Here is a 10,849-nt window from a genome sequence, read left to right as displayed (position 1 = left end):
CGCAGGAAGGCCACCCCCAACGCCCATCAAGCCCGAAGTCCCGCCTCCGCAGGCAAATACCCGGTGGAATCCCGCCTGGTTCGGAAGCTCCGCCCCCTGGCGGGAGGGCCAAGCGGGTTTCACCCCGGCCTCGCGGAAGGGGCGCGACCACCGTATGTCCTGTTCCTGCGCTTCCCAAGCTGGGTAGAAACGGCGAGAGGCTGGGGGTTAGAAACGACAGGTTCCCGGCGGGCTGTGCCGGGGCTTCGCTGTGTGACCTTGGGCTGGCGTCTGGGCTCTCTGGGCCCTTGTTTCCGCGAGTTAAACGTAGGGGCGGGGGAGTTTCTCTGGCCCTGCCGCCTGTGACCTAAGGAGCCCCGTGACCTCTCCGACCCGAGCCCACCCCCGGCCCAGTCTGCGAGCAGCTCCGGGACAAGCACTCCCGGCGAAGACATGTAGGCTCTCAGAGCCTGCGTTTCCCTCTGTAGAGCAGGCCTAGTTACTGTCTTCAGGGTGCACGCGTCTCCGTCCCCGACCCGCACCCTCACCGCCGGGGTAAGCTGAGCCAGGCCCAAGCGACAGCTGGGGTTGTCCGTGGGGCTGCAACCCAGGAGGAGGCCCCAACAATAGAGCCCCAGAGGACGGAGACAATGGGCCTCTCTGTCGGCCCAGCCGTCCCCGCCATCCAAACAGAAGCAGCTGACGGAGGACTGCCGGGCTGGGATCCCTGGGCTCCGCGGGGGCGGCTGTGTGCCAGGGCGGGGCACAAGGGAAGCGCACAGACGTTTGAAGAGGGGCCCCCGTGTGCCTGCCATGATTGCATGATGGCATCTGAGCCTCACAACCTAATCCTGAGAAAGGTGCCATAATCACCCCAACTTTATCTTGAGGGAACTGAGGTTCGGGCCTGGATTAAACCCAAACTCGGCCACCCGCCAGCATAGTGGCTTTGGGCAGGTTGCTTCAGCCTTCTGGTCCTTCATGTCTGCATCTGAAAATGAAGTACTGGGCCGGGTGCGGTGGCTCACGCCTGTAATCCCAGCACTTTGGGAGGCCGAGGCGGGTGAATCACCTGAGGTCAGGAGTTCGAGACCATCCTGACCAACATGGTGAAACCCCGTCTCTACTAAAAATACAAAAAATTAGCTGGGCGTGATGAAGGGCGCCTGTAATCCCAGCTACTCGGGAGGCTGGGGCAGGAGAATCGCTTGAACCGGGGAGGGGAGGTTGCGGTGAGGCCGCGCCATTGCAATCCAGCCTGGGCGACAAGAGTGAGACTCCATCTCAAAAAAAAAAAAAAGGAAGAAAATGAAGTTCTGGTTGCACTTCATTCTCTGGATTTCATGGGCAAGTCCAGGGAATCAAGAGACAATAATGTTGATTATTATTCAGAGACCATCTGTCATGTGCTAAGTTGAAGTCCAAATGCTTTTTGCTTGTCGAACTCTTCTGACAGTCCTAGGAGGCAAACTATTGTCATCCCCATTTTATAGATAAAGAAATTGAGGCACAGAATGGTGAAGTAACTCACTCAAAGGTCAGGGATGTGGGCAGATGTAAACCACAGAAGGAATAAGTACTATTTTATAAAGTGACAGAGTGCATGCAGTGGCCCTGTGGCATTTGTGAGAGACCGACTTCCCCTCAGGGAACTTGCTCTGTAGTTTGGGAAGCCACACAGATGATCCTCTGGTTGGGAGAATGAGGATCTGGGCAGCCTGGACCTGAAGCTGAGGCCAAAGAGAGTGGGATTGGTCTGAATAAGTGGGTTTTTAAATTTTTTTAATTTTTAAATTATTTTTTAAGAGACACAGCCTCACTATATTGCTAAGGCTGGTGTCTAACTCCTGGGCTCAAGCGATCCTCCCACCTTGGCCTTCCAAAGTGTTGGGATTACAGGCATGAGTCACAATGCCTGGCCAAGGGTTTTTAAAATTGTGTCCTGGTAGCTAAAGAGTTAAGTGGTCTGCGGAGGCCCTGGAGCTTGTGAACACCTTCAAACCACCATGAAAGCCTGGGCCAACCGGCCGCATTATCACGTGGGGAAGAAATAAGTGTTATGCACGCTGCTGTGTTTGGGGGCCTCTTTGTTGCAGTATCCTAGTGTGTCTGCTCACTAAGACACAGCACTGGGGACACAGCTGCACAGAGCAGATGAGTTCAGAAAGCCTTTGTCAAGCTAATAGTTTAGTGGGAGAGACAAGCCTTAACCTAGGAAGGAAAATTGTGATTACAAAATGTGGTAACTGCTGTGAAAGGCATAGGCTGAGACTGTGAGAGAGAGAATAATGGGGTCCCTGATTTGGACAGTGGTCAGGGAAGGCCCCTTTGAAGAAATACATTTTTTCACTTTTTAACCATATGTATTTTATTTTTAAATGGCATTTAATGAAACAAGACACTGACTTATTGAACATTGTATACTTAACTGTTTTTCCCCTTTCATGCAATATTGAAATATATTTCAACTTAAAACAAATAAGAAAGTCCCAAATATAACACTTCTTTTGAAAAATACAGGCACGGCTGGGCGCGGTGGCTCACGCCTGTAATCCCAGCACTTTGGGAGGCCAAGATGGGCGGATCACCTGAGGTCAGGAGGTCAAGACCAGCCTGGCCAACATGGCGAAATCCCATCTCTACTAAAAAGTACAAAAATTAGCCAGGTGTGGTGGCAGGTGCCTGTAATCCCAGCTACTCAGGAGGCCAAGGCAGGAGGAGCTTGAATCCAGGGGCGGAAGTTGCAGTGAGCTGAGATCACGCTACTGCGCTCCAGCCTGGGCAACAAGAGCAAGACTGTCACACAAAAAAAGAAAAATACAGGCACGCAAAGGATATTACAGAAATGCACCAAACATGAATTATTGGCACAGATACAATATTTCAAAACACTAACTAATATTAGATTGAGACATCCTATTACAACATTAAAACCATGCCCCTTTCAATTCAAGTGAGCACCTCTATTTCCATTCCAAGACCCTGTGATTTCATACACATTTAACACAACGGTAACAATAACAGTAATGCTAGCTAGTATTTGTTATGCCCTTAATGAGTGCCAAGCTCAGCTAAATATGTAAAACATGTTTTGTTTGTTTTATTGGTGAAGAGATGAGTTCTTAAACAACCAGAAGATACTGCAGGTTCAAAGTCCCGGAGGCCAGAAGGAGCTTGCATTCAAATAAGAAAATATATTTTCTCAAGGAAATATAAGTTGTATTTCTATGTAACTCTATGCACCAGGAGGGCCCCAGCAAGAAAGAGAGGTCTCACTCCACAGGGATTTCTGAAAAAAGTTTAATGAACAGGCCATTTACCTGAGATGTGGGTGAGGTTGAGGGGACCAACAGGAGATGGTGCAGCACCTGGGGTTGGCAACAGAGGGGAGGGAGCTCTCACCCCTAAACCTGAAGGGTCCAGGAGAGGGAGTGGTTTCCTGGAACCAGTGAGAATAGCTAGTTATGGGCCACGGGGAAGCCTGAGAGGAGGTTTGAGGCCACACAGTCACTGCCAAAACTAGGGGTACATGGGGAAAATACCCCAAATTAGCTCTTCTCCCAGCCTCTGATGCCCTGCTGGCACTTCCCATTGGCTGGATCGAACTGGAACCCCAAGATCAAGGAATCCTCTGTGATGGCATCCATGAGGGTCCACTTCGTCGGGGAGCACCGAGCAGGGTGGGAAACCCTGGTGAGTGGGTCTGCAGGTTGGGGGTAAGCAGAGAATGACCACTGATGTTCTGAGCAACCTTGGAGATTCCTCCAGCCTCGTGAGCCAGCTCTGTAACAGGAGTGAGCGGGCTTGAAAAATAACCCTGCCTCCTGTCCCCAGTACTGCCTGCAAAGGTCTTGTTGACCTGGGACACTCACATATCCTGTCAACATGGAAACCTGATACTCACTCTTGGCTATCTCTGCCTACCATCTATACCAAACTGGTGACCGGGTGATGGCCAAGGGGATGAGAAATCACTGCACTGCTAGAGCCCCTGTGAGAGGCCCCAGTCTTGGTCTCAACCAGATGAGTTGAGCAGGGCCTCTGGAGACCAGCTGGGATATCTGGACACCCTGGGTGGGTGAAATCATCACTCCCTGCTCTAGGCTCCTGGCAACAAGTCATTTGCTCCAACTACCAGGACTGGCCCCAAGGGAACTCATTAGTCCACACCATTGCCAATGACAAACCCAGCACACACACTCTGGGGTGTTACCTCAGCTGCACAGATGAAGGGAGACACAGCCCACAGCTACAGGCACACACCCACGGTGCCAGATTCAGATGCACACACAGGCACAGACAGAGATGCACCCTTATAGTGAGTGCTGCCACACCCAGCCCCATGCCTGGCTACCCCTGCCAATCTCCTAGTCTCCGTCTTCCTGATTGTCCCAGGATAAAGTTGGGACACCCCAAAACACTGAGTGTCTTCACTGCCGTGTCCCCTCCCCAGAAAGGGACGTTCCTGGAGCACAGATATGAAAGGAAGGCACAGATATAGATGTGAATCTAGATATACATATGCCAAGGACAGAGTCAGGGTTTGTCAGGCCTGATGTTCATACAATGAGGGAGGGACAGTTCTTTTTAAACAAAGGCCAGGTGTGGTGGCACATGCCTGTAATCCCAGCACTTTGGGAGGCCAAGGTGGGTGGATCACCCGAGGTCAGGAGTTCAAGACCAGCCTGGCCAACATGGTGAAACACCGTCTCTACTAAAAATACAAAAAAAATTTTAGCTGTGTTTGGTGGCAGCTGCCTGTAATCCCAGCTACTCAGGAGGCTGAGGCAGGAGAATCGCTTGAACCTGGGAGGCGGAGGTTGCAGTGAGCTGAGATCGCGCCATTGCACTCCAGCCTGGGTGACAAGAGCGAAACTCTGTCTCAAAAAAAAAGATTAAAACTGTGAATACAAAACTAGAGACCTGGGAAGGAGCCCAACTAAGAGAGGAGCCCCAGAGCTTAACAAGAAATCAGCTTCTGTCGCACGCAGGAAACAGAGAGATAACCCTACAAATACACGTGGGAGCACAAACACAGGCACCCCAGGCTCTTCAAGCCACACACTAACACGCACAGACACCGGCATGCATGCGCACACATGCTCCGCGCCTCAGGCGCTCTCAGGGCAGTCTAGGGAGGCCTCTGTGCACCAACCTTCAGAGAGGCCCCTGCAGCCCTGGCTTAGATCTTAGGCTTCCCCCAGCTGCTTCTACAGCCACAGGCATCTTCTGAGACCCTGCATTTTGTTGTTACAGAGGAGCCAACCCTGCTCCCCACTCCAGCTTTCTCACCCTTCACCTCCGGCCCCAGGACAAGATGAGCAGGAGGAGGGGGAGCTGCCCAACACTCACTAAGGAGTCAGCCTCTGGACCTCAGAGCCAGCAACACCCCCCTGCACTCACACCCCTACCTCATCCTGCTGCCTTCTCCTGAGGAGGGGAAACTGAGGCCCAGAGAGGGAGGGCATGAGCTTTAATTTGAGTCCTCTGGGACGACAGCAGTACCTCATCACATGCACACAGAGAACCAACACACATTTTTCTGGACCGCAGGATATTTTAAAAGGTTTTCTTTTTTAATACAGAAAAGCATAAAGATGAAAATGGCCCGTAATGCTGCCACACAGATAATCCCAGTGGTATTTTTAAAATAAAGTTAACGAATGCCCACGTTTGCAAAATTCAAACCATACCAAAGGATTATAAAATGAAAACTAAAACTTTTTCCATCACAGTCGCTCTCCCCAGAAACGATGTCTCTTTGTTTCCTTCCTGAAGACATTGGCATGCCAGCATTTTTTACCTATAAAAAGAAAATCACTCTGCCCACTGTTTTGGACCTTGCCATTTTTTTCACCTAAAACACATCTCGGCAGATCTTTTCACATCCACGCTGCTAATCCGCCTCCTTCTTTCTAACGGCTGTGCTGTACCCTGTTGTACGATTGTGTTTTCCGTGGGTGTGTATTTACCGTATTTCCAGTTTCTTTGCTCTTACAATGTGCCAGCAGATCCCCGAGGTACCTGAATATACTGCAAATATTTCCACAGGGCTAGGCACGAGCAGAGGCGCCGGGTCAAAGAGTATGTGCATTTTTAATTCTTGGAGGGGCTCTTGGCTCACGTCTGTAACCCCAGCACTTTAGGAGGCAGAGGCAGGTAGATCACATGAGATCAGGAGTTCAAAACCAGTCTGGCCAACACGGTGAAACCCCACCTCTACTAAAAATGCAAAAATTAGCCAGGCATGATGGCCTGCGCCTGTAGTCCCAGCTACTTGGGAGGCTGAGGCAGGAGAATTGCTTGAACCCAGGAGGCGGAGGTTGCAGTGAGCCAAGATCGCGCCATTGCACTCCAGCCTGGGCGACAAGAGCAAAACTCCGTCTAAAATAAATAAATAAATAAAAATTCTAGTAGAGATTGCCAAAATGCTCTTCAAAAAGATGGCATTCATTCACACTTTTAGCAACAATTATGAATTTGTGTCCCTAGACTTTTAATCAATTTTGCCAATCTAAGGTGTGAAAAGTCCCATCTCAGTGTTTTTAACAGGTTTATTGTGATATGATTCACATACTATACAATTCACCATTCAATGGTTTTTAGTATAGAGTTGTGCAACTATCACCATCAATTTTAGAACATTTCGATTGCCCCCAAAGGAAACCCTATACCTTTTAGCAGTCATTACCCATTTCCTCCCTCCCGGCATCCACTGGAAGCCATTAATCCACATTTTGGATCTATAGATGTGCCTATTCTGGACGTTTCGCATAAATGCAATTGTATAATATGTGGCCTTTTCTGGGAGCAAAGGGGCACAGGAGCTGCTGTGGTTGGAGCGCCCGGTGCCTGGAGCCTTGGTGGTTCACACACTGCTATGCGATTGGGCACAGAAGGCCCACAGAGCAGAACTTGATGTCTAGCTCTCCACCCCCATTCAACCTTCCTGGTCAAATGCCTGCCCAAGCTTGCCTGCTGTGAGGGAGGAATGGGGCTGACTTTATGTCCTGTGTCATCTTCCCTAACCTCAGCTGGGTCCCAGCAGGGTGACTGGGCACTGCTTCCTGGTCCTGCAGGGTTAGCATGACTTTAAGGGGTTTTTTCCCCCTTCTTTTTATTATGGAAAATTCCAAACATATGCAAATGTAGAGGGAAGAGTATAAGTGAGCCTTGTGTACCCATCATCTGGCCTCAGTATTGATCAGCTCAATAATGATCAGCTTGGCTGGGCGTGGTGGCTCACACCTGTAATCCCAGCACTTTGGGGGGCCAAGGCAGGTGGATCATTTGAGGTCAGGAGATCGCAACCAGCTTGGCCAAAATGGTGAGGCCCCGTCTCTATTAAAAACACAAAAAATTAGCTGGGCGTGGTGGTGCGCACCTGTAATGCCAGCTACTTGGGAGGCTGAGGCAGGAGAATCACTTGAACCTGGGAGGGGGAGGTTGCAGTGAGCCGAGATCGTGCCACTGCACTCCAGCCTGGCGACAGAGCGAGACTCCGTATCAATAAAAAAAAAAAATGTAAAAAAATAATGATGAACTCACAGCAAAACTGTTTGATCTGTATCTTCTTCCATTCCCACCTCTGGCCCCTATGGTGAAGCATATCTCAGGTAACCTATCCTGAAATTCATCTTTAATCACTACTTTTTCCATACCAGAGGACGTTTGTGAAAAGATGACATGTAGCCATTTAAGATAATGAGCACCCTAGAGCCTGCAGTTTATGACCTGTGGACACACACTTCTCAAAGCAGGAATTCATTCACATACAGACCTTTCTAGTCCCACAAGTTGAGATAAATATGAGTATGTTTGCCAGCCGCAATGGTTCACGCTTGTAATCCCAGCACTTAGGGAGGCAGAGGTATGAAGATCGCTTAAGCCCAGAAGTTCAAGATCTACCCAGGAAACACAGCGAGATCTTGTACTGCACAAAAAGGAAAAAAAAAAAACAAAAAGAGACAAAAAAGATACGTGAATATGTTTATATGTGTATATTGATACACATACATTTCTTCATGTTAAGGAAATATGTGTCTATTCTGGTTCTACTAAGGACTTTCTTTAATCAAGGAAAGGATGTTGGATTTTGTCAAATAACTTTGTTTTAATCTGTTGAGATAATAGTTTTCTCCCTTTGATTATTTAATATGACATATTATAGTAATAGATGTCATCTAGTGAGCTCTTTTTACCTTCTTAAGGTGAACTCCGTGAGGCCATTTAAAGAACTACCGAATTCAATTTGCCAATATTTTATTTTGGATTTTGGCAATGTATATGAGATAGGTCTCTACCTTTAATTTGTATCCTATGTTGGTAGAATTTTGGTATCAGTGTTAATATTGGATTTATAAAAATAAATTAAATCATTTAGTGTTCTGGAAAAGCTTAAATAACATCTGCATTTTTTGCTCTTTGAAGTTAGAAACAATTCTCCCACAAAACTATGTGGGCCTGGAACTTTTTGGGGGAGGTTTTAATAGCTTTCTCAGTTTCTGGGAAATGGTAGATTCAAATGGGGTCTTCACATATGCTCTTCCAGCCACCACAGCTGTCCCTGCAACACTCTAGCTAACCAGCTCCTTCTTATCCTTCAGGCCTTGGGGTAAATGTCACCTCTGTCTTAGTGTGAGCTCCCCAACAATGAGGCCCTGAGACACAGATTTGATGCAAATGGTTCATTTGGAAGGTGATTCCAGAAGTACTGGTGAGCGAGTGAGAGGGGGTAAGAAAGGGACAGAAGGGAGCCAGTACAAGGTATGTCAACGAGCAGAAGACAGCTGTGGGTGCGCAGGGCTCCGGTGGCTGGAATATTCATCCTCTAACTCCTGTCCATCATTTGCTGAGGGCTACTGCCAGGGATGTTAAACCCCCACAATTCTGATTTGCCTCACACTGGCCAGGCACGCCCCTGAAGCCAGAGGAAGCCCACAGGCTGAATCACAGGGACATGCAGTCGGAAGCCACCAACAGTGAACGCTGAAGGGTGGGGACTGCATGCCAATAACTGTGCTACGTGACGGGAGAGGTCTTCCCTGGCCACCAAATGTAAGCAGCACCCCTCCACGCCTGGTGTTCTCCATCGCTGCATCCTGTTCTTGCCCTTCAGAGTATTCACCAGACTTTGTACCATTACCCATGCGTACACAGACATATTTGTTTACTCACCTGTTAACTCACTTCCTCCACTAGGTTGCAAGCTCGAAGAGGGCAGAGGTGACATCTCTGTTTACTGCATGTACCCAGCACAGTGCCTGGCACCAATCTGCATCCACTAAACATTTGTGCCTGGATGAACACAGCCTGCATGGGCTTCATCTTCATTATTTGTTCTTATGTCTGTCTCCACCACTAAGTGTGACCTTTCAGAGCCCAGCATCCAGATCCAACCTGCCTATGGGTCCAGACCTAGCTCAAGACCTTAAAGACTGGCCGGGTGAGGTGGCTCACGCCTGTAATCCCAGCACTTTGGGAGCCTGAGGAGGGTGGATCACTTGACGTCAAGAGTTCGTGACCAGCCTGGGCAACATGGTGAAACCCCATCTCTACTAAAAATACAAAAATTAGCCAGGCGTGGTGGCAGGTACCTGTAATCCCAGCTACTGGGGAGGCTGAGGAAGGAGAATCATTTAAATCCGGGAGGTGGAGTTTGCAGTGAACTGAGATTGTGCCACTGCACTCCAGCCTGGGCGACAGAGCAAGACTACATCTCAAAAAAACAAAAAAAATAAAAAAACAAAAAACACACACACAAACAGAAAGAAATGTGCTTCATGTTACTCCCACCTGAAAAGTTTTCCCAGCTAATGGAACCTACACCAGAAGCTGTGTGAAATAAGCCATCCATGGACTGGACATTGCAGCTTCAGTGACAAGTAGGAATGAATTTGGCAACATGGGAGGGTAAGGGAAGCATTTGAAAATTTAACAAGATTTGGCCACCAGTGTCTGAGTTTTAACTGTAGTAAAAACCAGCCAGGCCGGGCGCAGTGGCTCACGTCTGTAATCCCAGCACTTTGGGAGGCCGAGGCAGGCAGATCACCTGACGTCAGGAGTTCGAGACCAGCCTGGCCAACATGGTGAAACTCCGTCTCTGCTAAAAAATACAAAAATTAGCCAGGCGTGGTGGCAGGAGCCTTAATCCCAGCTACTTGGGAGGCAGAGGCAGGAGAATCATTTGAACCTGGGAGGCAGAGGTTGCAGTGAGGTGAGATCGAGCCATTGCACTCAAGCCTGGGGCACAAGAGCAAGACTTCTCTCACACATACACACACACACACACACACACACACACACACACAAACACCAGCCAGGCACGGTGGCTCATGCCTGTAATCCCAGCACTTTGGGAGGCCGAGGTTGGCCGATCACCTGAGGTCAGGAGTTCAACACCAGCCTGGACAGCATGGTGAAACCTCATCTCTACTAAAAACACAAAATTAGCCAGGCATGGTGGCGGGCACCTGCAATCCCAGCTGCTCGGGAGGCTGAGGCAGGAGAATTGCTTGAACCCAGGGGGCAGTGAGCCAAGATCACACCAGTGCACTCCAGCCTGGGTAAAAAAAGAGCGAAACTCCATCTCGAAAAAAAAAAACACAAAAATCATGAACTTTACCATATTAACCATGGGTAAGTATACAGTTCAGTAGTGTTAAATATCCTTGTGCAACAGGTCTCTAGAACTATTTTTTCTTTTTCTTTTTCTTTTCCTTTTTCTTTTTTCTTTTTTTTTTTTTTTTTTTTTTTTTTTTGAGATGGAGTCTCACTCTCTTGCCCAGGCTGGAGTGCGATGGCACAATCTCTGCTTACCGCAACCTCCACCTCCTGAGTTCAAGTGATTCTCCTGCCTCAACCTCCTGAA

At 48.7% G+C, this 10,849-nt stretch overlaps 1 long non-coding RNA gene across 1 annotated transcript, besides 1 other annotated feature; it reads left to right on the top strand.

The window, feature by feature from the left end:
• HDAC11-AS1 (HDAC11 antisense RNA 1) lies at positions 124–3,190 on the top strand. The gene is made up of 2 exons (NR_046690.1): positions 124–534; positions 3,092–3,190. It is a non-coding gene; the product is annotated as an HDAC11 antisense RNA 1 (long non-coding RNA).
• Positions 456–515: an enhancer, noted in NCBI's record as "active region_19491". NCBI's record gives its function as "activates an Ori minimal core promoter by ATAC-STARR-seq in GM12878 lymphoblastoid cells {active_cell/tissue: GM12878}" and the evidence as "EXISTENCE:reporter gene assay evidence [ECO:0000049][PMID:35858748]".
• Positions 3,191–10,849: the final 7,659 nt, after the last annotated feature.

Source organism: Homo sapiens, chromosome 3, assembly GCF_000001405.40.
Source record: "Homo sapiens chromosome 3, GRCh38.p14 Primary Assembly".
NCBI classification, from domain to species: domain Eukaryota; kingdom Metazoa; phylum Chordata; class Mammalia; order Primates; family Hominidae; genus Homo; species Homo sapiens.
This window is presented reverse-complemented; position numbering and strand designations above follow the sequence as displayed.